The 21,448-nt window shown below is 40.1% G+C and overlaps 2 long non-coding RNA genes across 5 annotated transcripts in view, besides 1 other annotated feature; one reads left to right on the top strand and one right to left on the bottom strand.

The window, feature by feature from the left end:
• LINC01010 (long intergenic non-protein coding RNA 1010) overlaps nucleotides 1–21,317 on the bottom strand; it is a 66,305-nt gene extending 44,988 nt beyond the window's left edge. For 2 of the 4 annotated variants that reach the window (NR_038216.1, NR_038217.1), the window contains exon 1: nucleotides 21,152–21,317. This is a non-coding gene — a long non-coding RNA (long intergenic non-protein coding RNA 1010). Of the gene's footprint in view, nucleotides 1–6,903; nucleotides 6,999–20,511; nucleotides 20,644–21,151 lie in introns of those variants that run through there. The other 2 variants (NR_038219.1, NR_038218.1) reach the window with 2 other exon arrangements.
• Nucleotides 1–21,448, top strand: part of CT69 (cancer/testis associated transcript 69) — a 49,868-nt gene that overhangs the window by 19,865 nt on the left and 8,555 nt on the right. The window contains exons 3-4 of the long non-coding RNA NR_125852.1: nucleotides 4,452–4,580; nucleotides 11,032–11,099. This is a non-coding gene — a long non-coding RNA (cancer/testis associated transcript 69). The remainder of the gene's footprint in view (nucleotides 1–4,451; nucleotides 4,581–11,031; nucleotides 11,100–21,448) is intronic.
• Nucleotides 21,271–21,330: an enhancer, noted in NCBI's record as "active region_25090". NCBI's record gives its function as "activates an Ori minimal core promoter by ATAC-STARR-seq in GM12878 lymphoblastoid cells {active_cell/tissue: GM12878}" and the evidence as "EXISTENCE:reporter gene assay evidence [ECO:0000049][PMID:35858748]".

The following is a 21,448-nucleotide window of genomic DNA, read 5'->3' as shown; positions in this document are numbered from 1 at the left end:
AGGCTGACACTGGAAAACAAACACCAGAACCACCGCCCCTGCTGCCAGAAGCTCCAGTTGTCACTGTCACCTCCCAAGTAAAAAATATAAATAAAGGACTCTGTATGGTTTCTACTTTTCAGTTCCCTCTTCTGATATGGAGTACCTGATGGGCAGAGCCTGGTGTGGGGCTGCAGAGGAGCCTGGCTCACCAGGCCTCTGCTTTCCACTGCCAGGGTTTGAGAGCAGAGCCCCAAACAGTTATTCAAAATGGCTTTGCAAACATGGTAACCTTCACAGATATTCTTGCAATCACGGTTTTTGCCTGTTACTACTCAGTGAACAATTCAATGTTTTTTAAAAAAAGAATTTGATTTTTTTCCCCTCTATATCCATCTCTAGACTGACCAGGTTTCTTGTAGACTAGGTGCGCAGTCTTTCGCCAGACTGCGTAAAGGCCTGAAGCAGGGTAATAAAACTGACTTCCCTGTTTGAGAAATAGTTCTGGGAGAAAATGTGAAGATACTTGAAATCTGTAGATAAATTCAAGAAAAAAATTAATGATAGTCTTTAAGCATAGGAGGGAATATACAGCAAGTAAATGATAAATGGATAACTAACACTGCTTAGGTCGATATGAAAAAAATTGGAAATTTGGAAAATCCTGGTCTAGTGTTCCTTAAGAATAATCATCACTAGATTAATTAGAAAATATTAATAAGGAATTATTAACTATTTGTTGCTACATTTATTGAGGGGTTAGCAGTTGCAATGAACTGAAGGTTTTTGTCCCTCCAAAATTTATATATTGAAATCGTAATCCCCAAGGTGATTAGGCAACAGGGCGTTTGGGAGGTGATTAGGACGTGAGGGCAGAGCCCACAGGAATGGGACTAGTGCTCTTGCAAAAAAGGCCTAGAGAAACCCCTGGCACCTCCTGCCGGTAAGAAAGTGCTGTCTGTGAGGAAGTGAGCCCTCATCAGACACTGAATCTGCCATCACCTTGATCTTGGACTTCTCAGTCTCCAGAACTGTGAGAAATAAATCTCTATTGTCTACAAGCCGCCCAGTTTGGGTTTTTTGTTATAGCAGAATGGACTAAAACACCAGTGCTAAATAATGCTGTGTTCAATGCTGATTTTCAACATCTCATTTGATTCTCACAATAACCCCAACAGGCAGGACTAGGCTCAGAGAATGTAACTACTTTGTCTTGCTAGTAAATGGTGGGGGTCCAATGTCCTAAGCTCTTGGCTTCAAAACTATATGCCCCAAGTTAATCTCTAGCGAGATATAATGTCTAGTAAGGAGGAAAGGAGAGGACCTGGGTGATCCACAAACTTAACAATCTGCCCTGAGTAATCTCATTAAATGTGTATTTTAACTTTGTTTTTAAAGTGTCATTAACGTGTTCTGCTAAATCTTCACTGCTGGGAATTCATCCTTATTTACCTACAAAAACACACATATAGGTACAAAGCTACATTTTCCAGTTTTCGTTGTGAGAAGAAAAAACCTGGAACTCTAACATCATCATTTAGGAATTTTTATCAAGTTTCATGAATTATGAAATATCTATATGATAGAATACCATGCATCTTTTAAAGGTATGGGAGTATCTTTAAGATATACTTTCAAGTTAAAAATATCCAGATGAAAAATAGTGGATATAGTGATTCCATTTGTGAATAAATACACACAGATTTTTATGCTTGTAGATACATTAAAAAATTCTAGAAAGATATACAAATACTTGTGGGAGAAAGGGGAAGTTTTATAAAGGTCAAGGAAGACCTTTACTGCTCAGTTACTATCTGTTCGTATGGTTTCAGTTTTCTACCTTGCGTATAGATAGGTAACTTTTTATTCTTATTTATAATGAGTGTTTTTAATCAACTCTGTATGTTTGAAAGATTGTTGAGCCTTTTGAAAAAATTCATTTAGGTCTTTATATACTTCATTTTAAAAATTATAAAGCTGGCCAGGTTTGGTAGCTCATGTCTATAATCCCAGGACTTTGGAAGCCCAAGACAGAAGGATTACTTGAGACCATGAGTTCAAGGCTAGCCTGGGCAACATAGTGAGACCCTGTCTCTAAAAAAAAAAAAAAAAAAAAAAAAAAAAAAGATGAAAAATTAGCCACATGTAGTGGCACTTGCTTTAAATTTAATTAATTTTAAAATTTAAAATTAGCCATATGTAGTGGCACTTGCTACTCCAGCCAGAGTGACAGAGCAAGATCCTGCCTCATAAATATATAAGTAAATAAATAGCTATGTAAAACTTTGTGTTAATACCAAATATTTTTTGTTAGTCTGATTCTTAAGTATTTATTGCTAAACTACATGTTACTTTGCAGACATTTACTACAAATGGTCAGTTTCCCTTTAAATTAAAAAATACACAGATCTATACATTCACAGCATGAATAATCAAATGGAAATTTAATAATCATAGCTAAGGCTTAATTTGGTGCTTCCTCAGTGCCAGGCTTTGTGAAAAGCATCTCATTCACGTTATCTCCCTAAATCTTCACACCTCTGCAACCTTGATGCTTGCCCTGCCCATTTTGCAGAGAACAGAGGGAAATGATTTGCCCGAGGGCATGTATCTGGGGAGCCATGAAAGCAGAGGAGCCCAGAGACTCTGAACCCAGATGTAGGAGCCCAAGTATTACACATGACTCCTCACTGCCTCCATATTCAAATAAGTTTGACTCTGGAAATATGATTGTGACATTCCCAGAGACATTTGGCTCACACCTCCTTATACATATGTAGTGCAATGTAAAGCTTTAAAACACTAATGATTACTTAACACTAGTATCTGGGAATGTTAGGGCTATATTTTCTGATCTATATAATATTAATTTTGCCAACAGTACTTGGTATTCATGGTATGATTACTGATCGATAGGTTGAATTTTTCATATACCATAGGTAACTAGAGTACACTGGCTAATTATACTTGGTGGCTATATCAGTGGTAAATAGAAAGCTCTTTTGTTTTCATCTTTATTACTAAGAATATATCTGAAATCTATTAGTACTCATTTTCTTAGTAGAATAGCAAAGACATTTTCTTTTGATGAAAGAATTTCTTATGGAATCGTTATAGCTATCAATGACCATAATCTAAAAATAGATTAAGCTGAATTTCTATTAGAAGTGCACTATATCCTCAAAAAAAAGTTCTTTTTTGTATACTAAGTCAGTAATATGTGTTTGTTTTAGGTAATTTTCTCATATTTTCTTAAAAAATAGAATTTTTACAATGATTCTAGCTAATTGGATTCCAGTTTGCTAAGGTTCAACTACATACTAAGATTTCAACAAATTCCACAAATGGGTAATTTGTAAATTGCTGGGTTTGGGGAAAAGTTCTGCAGTGAAAGACACTAAATGCAGTGCAAAAACTGAAAGCATTGTTTGTAAGAAGGAAGATGCTGTGGTTTTACAGATTATATATTCCTGACACACCTGAAGCCTCTCTCCCATGTCCTACCCCGAAACTCCCTTGGAGTTGTGATTCTTGTTCCTCGTGCACCCCCTTTAACTCCTCCTTTAAGATGATTCATGGCCAGGTGTGGTGGTTGATGTCTGTAATCCCAACACTTTGAGAGGCCAAGGTGGGTGGATCACTTGGGGTCAGGAGTTTGAGACCAGCCTGGCCAACATGGCAAAACCCAGTATCTACTAAAAATACAAAAACTAACTGGACTTCGTGGTGTGCACCTGTAATCCCAGCTACTCGGGAGGCTGAGGCACAAGAATCACTTGAACCCGGGAGGCAGAGGTTGCAGTGAGCCGAGATCACGCTACTGCATTCCAGCCTAAGTGACAGAGCAATGTCTCAAAAAAGAAAAGAAGAAGAAGAAAAAAAGAAAACAAAAAACAAAAGACCATTCATATGAGAGAGAGAGGCTCTTAATCAAATTTCTTACCTAATATAGAAATGTCTTGAATGCATTCCTGAAAGACAACAATCCAGTAGGAATGTTAATTCTTTTCATTATACAAAATGCCTTATGTCACTGAATATTTCTTATGTCAGACAATTATAACTACTATAGTCCTTCAGCCACGAAACAGTCAATTATTGACACTACTTCTGGCAGCTGGAGCAACTCAGATTATAAATGCTAGTTCCTCTGCAGACTTCCCAAGACTTGTTGACCTAAAACCTTGCCTTATCCAGTTAGGGGGTTGTTGAAAATAATAAAGCCAAAGACCGTGCAATGCTCCTTATCATCTCTAGACAAAATATCTCTTGGAATGCATAGCCTGCCTTGTCTTACATGATAAAGCATCCCAGACTAAATTTATATTTCACATGGATGGAAGTAGTGCATTTTCCATTAGGAAATGGAACAGTAAGGATGGATTGTTCTCAGGTACCCACATCCAGGGACACTATCCAAGAAGCCACACAAAACACGTTTTAAACAGACAATATTCCTTTTCTCCTTGTAGGGTGCTTAGCAGAATCCTCAGCTCACAAGATGAATAAATGCAGACTAAATGATGCACAAATAATCTTCACACACAACCATCAACACATGGAAAGACTGCAGGACGGCCAGATCCCAAGCTAACAAACAGGTAAAATTTGCATAATTAGGTCTTCAGGTGTCTTTAGTTATGAAATGTGTCTGATTCACTTGGTGATTCTGGGCGTCTTAAGCTGGGTCTGTTAGAAGCCAACCTGGCTCACGTTCTGCCAATCCGCTGGGTGTTTGCTGTGCTGGGTATCATTAACCAACCAGTTTGATAGGAGTGCTTTGTTTTCTGCACTGATGAAATTTGTTTTCTGAGCTGCCTGAACAAACAGGTTATTTAAGCCATTGTGTGGAGAAGGTTGGAGGTGGTTTTTAGAGAAGACAGATCTCTCTTCCAAGGAAGGATTATTATGTGGTTGCAGTAAGAGATGAGAAATTATTCTCTTGATGTCCACATGTCATTGAGGCCACAGCAGGACAGGGAGGCAACCCTTCATATTGATGTGAATGGTGGAGTGTAACTCATCCAACCAGTTTCCCCTGAGGAATTTCTCAGCCAAACAATTCCTAACCTCTCTCCTCCCTTATGTATCCCTAATAGATTGGAGTGGGGGAGGGGTGGCGCTGACACTGAAACCTTCAGTGCTTGTTAGGAACACATCTAAAATATTTTATTTGAGGGCAGTAAAATGAAGAAACCAGGTTGCCTGGTGGGAAAACCATCAGCTTTTGAATCATCAAATTTTGAATCAAATCCCAGCTCTGCCAGCATTAGCTTCATAACCTTAGACCCTCTCTGCATCTCAATCATCAACTGTAAAGACTGCTGTGAAGTTTAATAAGACACCTAGAATAGTGTCTAGTGGTGTCCAAAGTGTGGCCTGGCCTAGGACCAGTATCTGCATCACCTGGAAACTTCTTAGAATTGCAAATTCCCAGTCCCATCACAGACCTAATGAATTAAACTGGGATGGAGAGAAGGTAGCAGCAACCTGGTTTTAACAAGCCATCCAGGTGATTCTGATTCACAAGAAAATTTAAGAACCCCTGGCCGGGTTTACAAAAGTCCCTCAATAAATGGCAGCTGTTCTATCATATTAGTGTAGTGTTTTACAGCTTACTGATTTGCTTTTTCATTCACACTACCATCTACTTTGCTCAGGTTTACATTCCCTTTGACCCAGTAATTCCACTTTGCAGAATTTTCCTAAGGAAATAATTAGAGATGTTCAGAAAGATTTATATGAAGAATTAATCATGCACGTGAAAATTTAGAAACTAATGTCAAATGAACAATATGAAACTGGTTTAATAAATTATGGCACACCTATATGATGGAACACAGTGCAGCATTTTAAAAGCATATTGTAGATCAGTGTATGTCAGAGCAAGCTCTGAGAATCACCTCCATCAGAATCTTCTGGGGTGCTTCTTCAAAAGGCAGATATCAGATTTATGAGTCATCATCTGCGGTTATGAATGAGGATCTCTGCGAGTGAGAGACTTCAGAATCTTTATTTCCCACATGCTCCCAGGTGAGTGGTATGCACCCAAAAGTTTTCAAATAATGTTTTAGATTAATAATAATATATGGAAGATATTCATGGTGTATTATTGAGTGAATGAAAGTGTGTTTTAAAGCAATATTTACAATATCTCAATAACATATGCACCATAGCCGTATATGTAAAAAGACCAAACTACATATGCTAAAATGCTAAGTAATTATTTCTGGACAGTAAGATGGCAATTCTGGTGATTTGTTTTCTTCTGTTCTCGATGTTTTGCATTTTCTGTAATGTATAGCTTTTCCATGAGAAAAGTAAAACCACATAATAGTGCATGTGTCATTAAACTATGGAGTGGGAGCTTCACATTTTATTAATTTTTTTAAATTTTTGATTTCAGTAGAGATGAAGTCTCACTAGGTTGTTCTCAAACTCCTGGCCTCAAGGGATCAATCCCAAAGTGCTGGGATTACAGGCGTGAGCCACCATGCCTGGACTGCTTGAGGAGTGAAGGCTAAGATAAATCCAGAATTAAGCTGTGTATTAGTCTGTTTTCACACTGCTATAGAGAACTGCCAGAGACTGGGTAACTTATAAAGGAAAAAAGTTTAATTGACCCACAATTCTGCGTAGCTGGGAAGGCCTCAGGAAACTGACAATCATGGCAGAAGGGGAAACAAGCCTGTCTTACATGGTGGTAGGCAACAGAGAGCATGTGAGAGTGCAGGAAAAACTATCATTTATAAAACCACCAGATCTCGTGAGAATTCACTCACTATCATGAGAACAGCATGGGGGATACTACCCCCATAATCCAATCACTTCCTTCCCTCAACACGTGGGGATTACAATTCAAGATGAGATTTGGGTGGGGACACAAAGTCTAACCATATCAGGCTGTAAACAAGTCCTCCTCACCTCTGCCCAGGGGATGCTGAGGCAGTCAGCCATTCATTAGGCAATGCAGGTGACTGGGCATGCTGCTGACCCCATCTGTAGTCCCTGGATAATCACTGGGGGCAGAAAGAAAGGAAATCAGAGCACTATTGACCTGGCACAGAAGTTATGGAGCCTTCTGTGGACTTCTTTTATAACAGGAGAGTTGCCCATCTTTCATGGGTGAATCCCCTTAAAATGCATAACAATTTAATCTTGGAGTTTGTGTTTTGTAAGTGAAGTCCAGAAGGACAATGGAACAGGGGGTGAGGAGCTTCCTCATCCACTCTCATTATCTCCCACCCCTCCACTCTCTGCTCCCCAACCCCCTTCCAGTGACTACAGCCATTTGGGCAGGCAGGGGCCTGGGCCTGCAGGGGGCGTGGAAGCTGGGTGCACACACCCCATGCACCAAGTGGCTGGGCAGGCCTGAGCTACCTGAGACCATCTGCACTCACCCTGTGAATACCCCTGTATCAAAGAGAGCATGAAATTAAATAGCAAGTAAGAGACCCCATGACAGGCCAAAAGAGAAAGAAAGGAAATCTTCCACACCTCCCCCCCACCACCACCCCTGCTTTTTGAAGGGACTTTGAGGGTTTTTTGTGTGTGTGTTTTCACTTGGGCTCTGCAAATTAAGGTAGCAGTCCAGATGAGGACTTAGGGATCGATGCACACATATCAAAGAAATGAAAAGAGGGCTTATTGGAAGAGGTTCCTCCCTTGGTAATCATTTCTGGTCTGTCTGAGAAAACTAATGTACTCCAGAAGGGTGTATCCCTGAAGGCACTACAATGTAGAATAAATTGTGTGGTTAAGTCAGGAGTATTTTCTCAGAAGGGTGTCTCTAGTGATTATAGACCAGGACACAGCCCTACTTAATTATATGCAGTATAAATAATCATTCTAAATAGTCTTTTCATATATACATGAAAGAGTATTTCATATGTGTGTATATACACATATATATGAAGCCAGGACTAATTAGAGAAAGTATCAGGAGTGTGACAGACAAGTTCTTCAGCTTTTGTTAAACAAGATTGAGGGGGAAAACATAATTATCAAAAAGAGCTGAGTTCACCTTTCTTTCTAGAAATTATCTTTCCAATAGCTTTCTCTTGTTCTCACTTTGAGAAAAGAGTTAAAAATAAAAATGAAAATAATGAATTTCGCTTTGTAGAAAGCACACTCCAGCACTTTGTTCATTAGCATCTGGAAAGTCCAGGGCACTCATGCACAAACAAATTACAATGCAAATGCTTATTAATGAAAAATCTACAATATGCATGTTTATAAAAATCAATTACACTTCACACCAATTTCTAAATTACTCCCACAGAGTTAAAAACCATTTTAAGTTTCTAATAAATAAAAACTCAATTTTACTGCTCCGTGGAAGTGAGAACAATTCATTAAACTCCTGAGTCCTGCTGGTTGTCTTGGTGAGGGCCAAAGAGAGTTTAGTAATTACTCACATGTGGAAAAACGGGTGTGTATGTGTTTGAAGGAGGCCTCTTTTGGACCCAAACCTTGGCCTGGTTTCCCCAAATCTCATGGACTTCTTGTCTTACTCTAACAAGAGAATTAGCCAGGGTCCTCTTTCCTATTTAGTATAGATACAGATATTAATAAAATGTGTCCAGTTGCAAAGAAAATGGTGTAGATTAAGGAGCTGGCTTAAGGCATAGCTCTGCTTCCTCTCAGGGTTAAGACACAGCTCCGTGGCTGGATCTGGCTGAAAGACTGGTGGAATAAGATTTCCAGACAGTTCTTCCCTTGGACCCAGGCAAATGGTATCCTAGCCTGAGGTGCCTGCTTTTGTTTTAAGAGGAGAGAGACCCATGAAGCCAAAGAGACATGCCCACCTGGAACCAAGGCACCCCCTTCTAGTCCTTGCTTTGGGTACCTTGAACTCTGAACTTTCTCTCCCAAATACCCTAGCCCTTCCACAGCCTGTGTGGGCTACTCTTCAAGTCACAGCATTACAGCTGTTAACTGCACTCCTAACCTGAGAAAGTCCAAAAGGCAACTCTTTGCAGGCTCCCGGGTTGCAGCTGCAATGTTCACATACACATGAGTGTGCATGGGGGTCAAGTTGCAGGACTGAGCAGCAGCTAAGAACATAAAAGGGGCAAACTATGAGTTGGAAGGGTGGAGGCCTCCATCTGTATTCTTGCACCGGCTGCAAATGTCAGAGATGGATCTGCTGCCAGGAGACCACATGTGCAAGGGCCTGAGTAACCTCCTAGGCAGAAAACATCTTAAAGGAAGAGGGAATGAAGGGATGATTGTGAGGGCAGCATAGGGTTTACCCCTTAAATTTCTCATTCATAATGATGTGAAACTCAGCCCACTTGAAGCTAAAACTTATTGAATAGCATTTGGTTTAACATAAGAAATGTTCACTAGGCCGGGCTCAGTGGCTCACATCTATAATCCCAGAACTTTGGGAGGCCGAGGTGGGCAGATGGCTTGAGGTCAGGAGTTCGAGACCAGCCTGGCCAACATGGTGAAACCCTGTCTCTACTGAAAAATAAAAAAAAAATTAGCTGGGTATGGTGGCGGGTGCCTGTAATCCCAGCTACTCAGGAGGCTGAGGCAGGAAAATTGCTTGAACCTGGGAGGCCGAAGTTATAGTGAGCTGGGATCGCACCGCTGCACTCCAGCCTATGCAACAGAGCGAGACTCCATCAGAAAGAAAGAAAAGGAAAGAAAGAAAGAGAGAGAAAAAGAAAGAGAAAGAAAGAAAGAAAGAAGAAAGAAAAAAATGTTCACTATACTGCCAAAGTTCCCTGGCCTTTTACATATAATTAAATCTTCTGGAGATTGCTCCCTGTGAGATATTGAATATCCAGCCATTTAAACCTATGATGTGGCCAACCAATGCTGCCAGAGAGGACAGATGCCACGCTAAGACTAAGAGTGAGTCCACTATCAGCTGTCTCCTCAGTGCTGCTTTTCTTGCTAAGCACAAGGATATCTCTCTGCTTGCCTGAAGTTTCACCTGTCATTCTTTGGGCTGAACTGATAGCAGCTAAAACATGGGACCCCAAATTTCAAGCTTTGGTTAAGCTGAGAGCAGAGATGTTCTTCTCAAAGGCAGTGTGGAGGCAGACATAGGCATGGAGAAAGAAGAGTGCACAACTTCATGAAAGCACTCAGTACCTGAAGGGCACTCAAACAAAACGACAGGAAAATCCCAGAAATGAGACAGGAGGGGCAGAGACAACCAGGCCCCATCCATAGACTTGCCCACCGCAGACCCTGTGAATCTGTGTAATTTCAGTTTAGGTTCAGTTGCTTTAATTGGCTGAGAAATGAGGCTCTCTATATGGAAGGAACCACAAACAAACATTTTTTAGTTCATTAAAATTTTCACCATATTGAAATAGGCTCGTTTTTGGTTTCTTTCCTTTTAAAAACGTATGTGGTGTTTGGGAGCTATGTCTCAGAGTCATCTATGTGATAACGTCACTTTTATGTTAACAGTCATTTGGTACCAGGAGTATTTTTTGAATAATTTCTTTGTTGAGATATAATTCATATACCATAACATTTACCCCTTTAAAGTGTAAAATTTAGTCTTTTTTAGTATAGCCACAAAGTTATGCAACTTTCCACACATCTAGTTCTTAAAATGTTTATCATCACCCTAAAAGTCCCATTATCCATTAGCCCTCACTCGCCGTTCTCCCTCTCCTCTCAGCCACTGGGAACCCGTAATCTACCTTCCATCTCTATGGATTTGCCTGACCTGGACACCTCATACAAATGGAATCATACAATATGTGGCCTTTTGTGTCTGACGTTTCACTTAGAATAATGTTTCCAGGGTTCATTCATTGTTTATAGCATGAATCAGTTCTTCATTCCTTATTATGCTGCATAATATTCCATTGTATGAGTGTATCACGTTTGTTAATCCATTCATCAGCTGACGCACATGTGGGTTGTTTCCACTTTTTGGCTATTATGAATCATGCTGCTATTAATATTCATATGGGTATTTGTGTGGACATATGTTTTTAATTTTCTTGGGTATATATTAAAAAGTGGAATAGCTGGGTCATGAGTGTATTTTTTTTTTGTATCTTTTAAAATCTCAAAAAGGGGAAGATGATGTTTCAAATGATCATCTGAATGCTGGGTTTCCACCTTCCACCAGGAAGTCATATGGTGTGAGTATGATCTCTCCTTCTCTTGGCTAATGAAAAGTTCTACATCCTGTAGAAACCACTGGTTGTTGAAACAAATCTGAACAGATCTTTCTCTCTCTCTCTCTTTTAATTTTCTCTCATTTTTTATTTTTAGCAAATTATCCCGGATCCTGAAATATATCTTTTGATAGAAATGACTCTGGTACTTTCCGCAACTTACTTTCTATGGAGCACTTTCCTGAAACAAGATTTGTGTTTAAATATTCCTCCTTCTACAAAGTATTAAACAGTAGTAAGTTCTGCAACGTTGACAATGGAAACCTGGCAATGTGCCCTTGTTTGACTATTAAGGAATTGCTTCCAAGTACCACAGGGCCTTGAAGACCAAAATAACACAATTACCTGGAAGGTGAACAATGGCAACTTATCAGGTGTGGTAAACACTTTTTTCCCAAGAAGATCCTTTATTCCTTCTGAATGCACATCAAGAAGGAGTGAATACATAAATCACATATTTGTTAATAAGATGTGCATTGCATTTTTGTCCATGTAAGCAGCTGACTTGATTGTACACCAACTAGTTGAAAATGAAAAATTAAGTCACAGGGGCCACTTAGCATCAAGTCACTTAAAAATAATAATTTCATGTTATTTTTGGTAGACTTTTCTCCCCTTAAACTTGTTTGTAGACATAGCTACAGTTTGAAGAAGAGAATGCTTCCTCAGAAATGTGCTACATTGATAAGATTCTGCCATAAAGAGGCAGAATCTATTTTTGACTTTTGAATTTGACTATTGTAACTGGTATTTTTCACTTTCCGTGTGTGTCATCATAGGTTTTTTCCCTGTAGATGTTTTAATCCTTTCTGGTTTTTCCTTGTTTTTTTCATGTTTGACCTCCTAAGTCCTGAATCACCAATTTCACCACTTGTGATTGTTTTCAAACTAATGTATTTCACACTTGCGTTTCGGGGATACATCCATCAGGAGAAATATTCTAGTGCCAGTACAAAGTCATCTTTCTAATTTGTTAATGCATGTCTGAAAAATACAGAGAGTGTGAGATGAGCATAAAAATAACTTGAAACAGAAGGCTGAGAAGCAAAAGGGAGAGAAAATACACATAATAAGTAGTTTGTTGATTCTTTTCCTCATAAACTAACCCACATGTCACTGCCTGCTATGGGGCTTGTCTAGTGCCTGCACTTTCACGCTTACACCAGCGGAGTTCCAGGCCACTGATTCTCAGGATTCATGCTTGTCAGTATTCATGCTTGTCATGCATGCAGCATGTTCATTTCCTGGCAACCCTTCTAAGAGATGGAATATTGTAGCCTCATTCTAATCACAAGTTTCCTCGGAAAAATTCCTTGGATGCTGTGCAAACCACTCAAATTCAATCTTTCAACAGAGATCACTGAAATGTATGACATCTGCAATTATGATTTGTATTTGTGGTCCTTGTAATTTGTGTGAATATCAAGCATCCAACATGTCAGAAACAGTTTGCTGTGTAAACAAAGGCACCAATGAGACGTAGGCTTGGGCTGCATACAGAGCTTTGCACATGCCACTCCGCGTAGCAGAGAAGAATAGGATGACACAGTCTGTGTTTTTCTCAGTTCAGCTAAGCAGACATTACTAGGCACAGTGAGCTCAAGACATGGAGGGATTATAAGAATAACTTGTTTCTGAGAAGCACAGGAGATAAACTAAAAAAAAAGGTCTGTTATAATAGAGCAGTAGATACATAAATAGCTGCTGTGGTGGTATAACCTGTGCATATACATTATTAGAAAATGAGGAATTTATTATGTGGAAATAATCCCAGAGGATTTCATTACAGGGTTAATTGCTAAGCAGACTACTGTAGGAACTATACGATTTTGTTTGTTGAAGTAAAGAGAGAATGTCTTTTGAACTGTGGATGAAGAGTAAAAGCAGAAGGGTAGAAAGTAGCCAGGCATTGTGGCTTGCACCTGTAGTCCCAGCTACTTGGGAACTAAGGCGGGAGGATCGCTTGAGCCCAGGAGTTTGATTCTGCAGTGAGTTATGATTGCACCTATGCACTCCAGCCTGGAGACAGAGTCTCCAGTGCAGTCAAGTGCAGTGGTGTGGTCTCGGCTCACTGCAACCTCTGCCTCCCAGGTTCAAGCGATTCTCGTGTGTCAGCCTCCTGAGTAGCTGGGACTACAGGTGCACACCACCATGCCCGGCTAGTTTTTGTATTTTTAGTAGAGACGGGGTTTCACCATGTCGGTCAGGCTGGTCTTGAATTCCTGACCTCAGGTGATCTGCCTCCCAAAGTGCTGCGATCACAGGCGTGAGCCACTGCACCTGGCTGAGATCCTGTCACTTAGAGGAAAAAAAAAAAAAAAAAAAGGAAAGTAGAAGGCCCTGGCAATGTAGTTTGAAATTTAAAACTCATCTATTCTACAAGTCTCCTCTAGTTAAAGGAGTTCATGTGACTTAATTCTGGCCAAAATGTCAGCAGAATCCTGCTAGGTGTCAAAGTGAGACAACTTTGCTATTCCCATGCAGAGGCAGGTGTGGCTGGCCCTGACCTTCCTCGGCTCATTCCTGCCTGGAAGGGCATGGCAATGGGGTCTGAAGCTGCGGTGGCTCTCCCAATGTGAGGGAAAGGCCAGAGAATCCTGCAACGCTGCTCCCAACATGTGGGTTCTCTTTCTGAATGTGAGAAAACGAACCTTTCTTACTTATAAGTCAATTTTTTTTTATTTTTGGAAGCCAACCAAATTCCTAATTGATATTCTTAGGTGGGTTTTTGGCCAGGAATAAGCTGCTTATATTATAGCTGTATTTGGTAAAAACAAATTTTAAAATAAAAAGTGCACATGATCATAGAATTACTTCATGAGAAAGCCATGCTTTATATCTTTCAAGTGTATTCGCTTGAAGAATCACAATAAAATAATTATATATCTCCATTTCATAATTTGTGGCTAAAAGTAGATTTCCTGATCTTTCAGCCATATTTGGTCCATTAAGCTTCACTATCTCAGACAAGCACATCTAAAACCCTCTGCATGGCTATGAATTTAATGTCAGCTAGGATTTCAAAAGACAGGTACATTTACAGTGTCATTTATTTTCCTTTAGTTTCTCTTCCAACCCCATGAAGTAACCTATTTCTGCTGGCTTTTTTTTTTTTTTTTCATATTTAGAAGATTATTTTATCCACTCCAAAATCTAAGCTTTTTACGGTGCCTTCTCAAATTTTATGAAATAAAAGTGGTTTACAAATTCATACTCCCTAAGCCCTTCAAGAATTGCTTTCCACCAATTCTAGTAACTATCAACACTGGGCAGGGAGAAGGAAAGCATTATCTTGAAGGCTGGCAACTTTTGTCAGAGCAGACATCGACTATGAAAACCACAAGGAGGCTGGGTGCTCCTGCCTGTAATCCCAGCACTTTGGGAGGCCAAGGCAGGCGGATCACTTGAGGTCAGGAGTTTGAGACCAGCCTGGTCAACACGGTGAAACCCTGTATTTTTAGTCTCTACTAAAAATACAAAAATTAGCCAGGCATGGTGGCAGGTGGCAGGTGTCTGTAATTCCAGCTACTTGGGAGGCTGAGGTGGAAGGATTGCTTGAACCCAGGAGGCAGAGTTTGCAGTGAGCTGAGATCAAGCCACTGCACTCCAGCCTGGGCAGCACAGTGAGACTCCATCTAAAAAAAAAAAAAAAAAGAAAAGAAAAAGAGAGAGAGAGAAAACCATGGGGAACCATTTGAGCTAACGGATCCCATCACTTGTTGGTTCTCAAAAGCTTTGGGGGCACTTTTTAAAAATAAAAAGTCTGAGATTCATCTCCAGATATTCTGACCCAATATATCAGGAATAAAGGCCAGAAATATGTATTTTTATTTTATTTATTCTTTTATTTAAGACAGGATCTTGCTCTGTCACACAGGCTGGAGAGCAGTGGTGCAATCATGGCTCACTGAAGCCTCGACTTCCCAGGCTCAGGTGATCCTCCCACCTGAGCCTCCCAAGTATCTGGGACCACAATCACACACTACCATGCCCAGCAACTTTTTTACTTTTTATAGAGCTGGAATCTCACTATATTGCACAGCCTGGTCTTGAACTCCTACTCAGAAGGCTGAGGCAGGAGAACTGCTTGAACCTGGGAGGTGGAGGTTGCAGTAGGCTCAAGTGATCCTCCTGCCTCAGCCTCCCAAAGTTCTGAGGTTATAGGCATGATCCACCATGCCCAGCAAAATACATATTTTTTAATCTTTACAAATACTCATCCAGGTTTGAGGACCACTTACCAACTCTAGTGCTTCCCCGAATGTGCACACAGCACAGCTAAGGATCTTGTTAAAATGCAGATTCTGTTTCAGTAGACCTCAGGTTGGCCTAACAAGTTCCCAGGTGATGCCCATTCTGACAGTTTCTGAAGCACACTTAAAACAACGAGGATCTAAGCTGCACCCCACCTCTATACTTTTGTGCTACAGAGAAGAAAACTGAGACTGGGAGAAGTTAAATGAGTAGTCCAGATCATACAGGCATGCAGTGGCAGCATGAGGATCAGAAACCAGGTCTTTTAATTCCCAGTCCAGGCTCCTCTGCGATTTTACACTGACTCCAGCAAAGAGCAGCCTGTGAGACCTCTTGGTGTTGATGAGGACTGACGAACATGAAGCTGCTTTGGTTCACTCTTTTGTTTTATTATGGGCCCTTTGAATAGCTCATGATCTCATTTTCCACCCCTCTTCAACTTCTCTCTCCACCTCATATCTAACCAGTGGTGTGCTGGTAAGTGCTTAACTACTGACTTTCTGGAGGAAAAAGAAAAAAAAGATCTGATCTGTGATGTTTGCTGACCTCCATGGTATAAATACTCCCACTACGGTTAACGTGAAGCTGGAAAGAGATACACACAAACAGCTCTCATGAAGTAGTGGAGGCCAGCTCCTGCACACCATTGCATCGACGTGTGCATTGCATTGCACACATTGCATCCTCTGCCCCAGAGCTGAAGCCACAGGTCAGGACAATAGCCGGGTTCCAGCCTGACTGCAACGAGTTGGTACTTGGCTAGAAGAAATAACACTACTGCTTTTTAAGCAAGCCAACCTCTAGTGTAACTGGTAAGAGATACTGATTGTGTATGTTTTAGGAATGCTAATGCAAAGAAGAGAGGAAAGATAATGGAAAAAGCATCTGCTCATAAAATAACTGAAACCTTTAGAGACCAAAAACAAGCAAACAAAAATCAACAGATAAATCCCGAAGTGGACAAGTATATAGAGAGATGCCTTTACTTAGTCAAAATACAATCAAAGAACACTGGATCAATTTGGAATTCAAGTCAACAGTATTGGCTGGTTGCTTCCTGTGTTTGGGACATTTAGTGAGGCTCTTGCGCCACAGGTTTTCATTCCATGGGGTCTTACTGTAATTTTTTTTTTCTTCTCCTAGTAGAAACTACTTCTGCCAGGAGATTCACTGGGGAAGATAAGACAAACAGTCTCCTATGCCAGTGCAGAAGTGACTGCATTCCATTTGCCACTGTCCACCAGGTATTAGGTTGGTACAAAGCAATTGTGGTTAATGGGGAAAACTGCAGTTACTTTTATACCAACCTAATAATTAATATTTTTAAAAGAAAAGTTTTGCTATCAAAAGAGATTCATTATAGTCAGCAAATTATACACTTCTAGAGAGAGACTACACACAGTCATGCACAGCAGATGACATTGTACTGAACAATAACTAAAGTCTATACAACAAAAAGTTTACATTGTTTAGACATGTCACACAAAGTAGTGCAAACAGCACTATTACTCTTATTTGTTAAAAATGGTTATACATTGCATAGAAGTGTTATTTTCCCATGTAATTAATGAACAATGAAAGTGAAGTACAAGAAAAATAAGAACAATAAATATGGATTTTCAACATGGAGGAAATTCAGATATCATAAATATTTCTATCAAAAATGACCTTGTTATACAAAAATTAGCCAAGTGTGGTGGCACACACCTGTAGTTCCAGCTACTTGGGGGGCTGAAGTGGGAGGATCACTTGAGCCTAGGAGGTCAAGTCTGCAGTGAGCCATATTTGAGCCACTGCACCCCAGTCTGGGTGACAAACTGAGATCCTGTCTCAAAAACAAACAGACAAAAAATGGCCTTGTGTTTCCCTTAGTTTTCTATTCTCACCTGGTCTCTTTCCCTATTAAAAATTCCTTTTACCAATAAGAAACATTCTCCTCACCCACCACCTAAATGTTTTTACCACTCACTAACTCTCTTGGGGAAAGAGAAGAGTAATTCTTTCCCATTATCTAATTTAGTAAATGGTGCCTAGGATCAGAAACCAGGCTGCTGCAATAAGGTGGATTGTTTTTCTCTTGTTATCAATCCCTGTTGTTCATTGTGACAAGCCAAAAAGGTAATGAAAATCCAAAGATAAATTTTGTTTGAACTACATTTAGCAAAACTAAGTTAACAGATTTAGAAGCAGATAACCATTATGAAATAATCTTATAAGACATATAAGCAAAACCAAATATGAGGGCCGAGGCGGTCGCTCATGCCTATAATCCCCGCACTTTGGGAGGCCGAGGCAGGTGGGTCACTTGAGGACAGGAGTTCAAAACTAGCCTGGCCAACATGGTGAATTCCTGTCTCTACTAAAAATACAAAAGTTAGCTGGATGTGGTGGCACACGCCTGTAATCCCAGCTACTCAGGAGGCTGAGGCAGGAGAATCACTTAAACCTGGGAGGCGGAGGTTGCAGTGACCCAAAATCATGCCACTGCACTCCAGTCTGGGCGACAGAGCAAGACTCGGTCTCAAAACAAAAAACAAAAACAAAATAAACAAAAAATATGAATGAGTTCCAATATCTTCACATAGGGATATCAAGATACTAAATTGAAAATTCCTTAAAGGTTTGTCTTTAACTTACCGGGTAAGTCCTAGACCAGTGGTCCCCAACCTTTTTGGCATCACGGACCAGTTTCATGGAAGGCAATTTTTCCACAGATGGGACTGGGGTGGGGTGGGATGTGGGGGATGATTTCAGGTTGAAACTGTTCCACCTCAGATCATGAGGCATTGATTCTTGTGAGGAATGCGCAAGCTAGATCCTTCACCTGCACAGTTCACAGTAGGGTTTGCACTCCTTTGAGAAGCTAATGCTACCACTGATCTGATAAGAGGCGGAGCTCAGGCTGTAATGCTTGCCCCCTGCTCACTTCCTGCTGTGTGGCTTGGTTTCTAACAGGCCACAGACTGGTACCGGTCAGCGGCCTGGGGATTGAGGACCCCTGTCCTAGATGTTTGATATGGTGCCTACAGAATGCTAGTGTAATTCAAGAGTCGATTTTAAGCAATATTTCTTTGCCACTATAGGCAAGATCCTGAGCAAGGCATTACAACTACATGTAATTCAGGAAATATAAAATAACCTATTCTTTTTTTTTTTTTTTTTTTTTTGAGACATAGTCCAACTCTGTCACCCAGGTCAGAGTGCAATGGCATGATCTCGGCTCACTGCAGCCTCCACCTCCCAGGTTCAAGCGATTCTTCTGCCTCAGGCTCTCAGGTAGCTGGATTTACAGGCGCACGCCACCATGCCTGGCTAATTTTTTGTGTTTTTAGTAGAGACGGGGTTTTGCCATGTTGGCCAGGTTGGTCTCGAACTCCTGGCCTCAAGTGATCCACCCGTCTCGGCTTCAACCTATTCTTTTTGAACACCAGAAATACGCTAAGGATTCATTTTGAGCCATAATCTAACTTTGAATCTAAGGTACGACGACCCAGTTGGCTTAGAATATAGCTCTAATAAAGTATTGTTCTTTTATGCATCCCTGACAGTGAAAAAGTTTGTGAATATCTTGAGCACTAGAGAGATAAATGAAAATGTGAGTGTACAAAATCCAACCTCAAAATGAGAACACAGCCCTGAGCACAGGTCCTGAACAAAAAGCAGAACATCTTTTTGTCAGCCTCACACCTCCTCTAAACCCCAATTTAGAATAGGTTTGGTATGAAGATCAAAATAGATTAACTGTATGGAGAATCTGTAAACCCAAAATAGATTAACTGTATGGAGAATCTGTAAACCCAAAACACCATAAAGGTGTAAAGTGGTATAATTATTATTACTATATGTTTTTACACACCAAAAACCACAGAGTCGGCTTCTGTACAGCTCACAGTGTGAAAAGGTGTGTTTCTTCTTCCAGAAAACATTAAAATTGGTCAATATATGACTTTTTAATCTTCTTATGGTTAATCCAAGTGAATTGTAATTTTCCTCCATGGTAAGGGTTATATTTTCCCCTTTATTTCTGGAATCTTTTTGCTTTTCCTTTCTTCTTTTTCTCTGTCTCTGTATATGTCTCTGTCTTTTTGTTTTTTAAACAAACACCCTCCTTTCCGCAGAAAGCCTAAGGGCCATTATTATTGTTGTTCAAGGGGAAAAGTGGCTCCCAAATGTCAGGCTCAATTCTCTGGCTTTCTTCCTCTTCCAATCTTTGTCCCAAGATGCCTCACTGCATTGTTACTGTTCCAAAGTAAAACCAATCAGTTCTTTAAAAATCTTCTGAATGCCCATAATTTCATGTACTTAGTTTACTATCAGTCACTACATGATACACTTTTAATTTGGCAAATTTAATGTGACAAATTAATTGGACAAATTTAATGTGATGGTCAAATCATCTTGAGCTACGCAATTCAAAATAATAATTTGGATAGGCCTTAGTTTACTTTTCCCCATTTTTCTCTAACAGTGTTCAACAGTTTCGTATCTGCCAAACCTGAGAAAATTCTTCATAAAATTTCAGAGCTTTTGAGCCTCTTTGAAGTGGCAATATCCACAGGGGACCCGATGTGCTCAGCTAACTTGGTAACCTGACCCTATATCCCTGCATACCCAGACCTCTCTATTCGTTTCTCCCGGGCGAATCCCACCTCAGCCCCCAACTCTGAGTAGCTCAGACTACAAGCACAAGCCACCATGCCTGACTGATTTTTGTATTTTTGCAGAGACAGAGTTTTGCCATTTTGCCCAAGCTGGTCTCAAACTCCTGGGCTCAAGTGATCCAGCCTCAGCCTCCCAAAGTGCTGGGATTACAGGCATGAGCCATTGCACCTGGCCTGTTGGCCAACTCTTAATAGCAATTCTTCTATGCTATAGTGAAATAATTAGAAAAGACTACATCCCTAAATATTTTAGGATGCATTAATCACTGTCTTTAACTAATAAATTAATTGAATGCAAAGAGTCCATTCTAAAATATCGGGGAATTTTATCCTTCAACACAGACTTTCTACAGTAGTTTTCAAACAGATTTTGAAGTCTTACGTTACAAATTAGAAAGTAGAAACACATTTCTAATCTGATATTAAAACATTTACAGAGGAAATAATTGAAAATGTCTTACCAGATCACTGTCAGAATTGGCAGTACTAGGCAGTCCTCCTGATTTTCATTCCAGAATTATAATGATAAGAAGGTAGATATTTTTAAGAGAACTAAACAGTAAGTTAATCAGCTATAGTATTCTCAGTTTTTTCCCTGAAGTTTTTTCTCATTATCTCATTTACTTTGGGGACCAATAACTTGTCCCCTTTTTGCAAACATGGGCAGAAACAATGAGTACTTTTTCATTTTGCCTCTAATGCTAAACAGTAACTCCTTGAGGCTAGAACTACAGATCCGTTCTCTCTCTAATCCCCAGTTCCTACCACAGTGACTGGTAATAACTTTCAGTAATTATGTGCACGATGCACATTTCCTTGTTAACTAAATATTTTACTTATTTCGATTGTAACCTGTAACTTTTATAGAATCCTTGCAAGGTGACCAGAAAGCTCTTTTTTGAGGAGCATAATTCTTGTTTGCGCTATTTTTTTACTCATGTCTTTTCCTAGTGATGATATTGTCTCTCCAGCACTCTCTCTCCTCCCCTCAACCCGTCCTTCTCCATCCCTGTTTCTGTAATCTCTTTATCCTAATTATAAGCTACTTAATATAGAAAGAAAATAATTGTAACAAAGGGAAAAGTTCCTTAAATGCATTACCTTTTTTCTGAAATTTGCAACAATGGCAGGATTCTTAGTAGGGCTAGCAAGCACCACTTACAGTTCTTAGGCAAAAAACCGAAGCCAAAGGACATCATCTGTCATGGAGAAAGACCCAATAGGGGAGAATATTTCCAAAATTCACATCATCAACAGCAGTATGAAATGAGAGTGATGCTAAGAGTCTGACATATACCAGCATGTAAGGGCCAGTCGCACTAGTGGGTGTCAGAGGTTACTTCTTCATTCATAGCTAAAAAGTGGAAGATGATTCATATGTCTTTGCTACTGATGTAA

The sequence above is a fragment of the Homo sapiens genome, chromosome 6 (assembly GCF_000001405.40).
Source record: "Homo sapiens chromosome 6, GRCh38.p14 Primary Assembly".
Lineage (NCBI taxonomy): Eukaryota > Metazoa > Chordata > Mammalia > Primates > Hominidae > Homo > Homo sapiens.
This window is presented reverse-complemented; position numbering and strand designations above follow the sequence as displayed.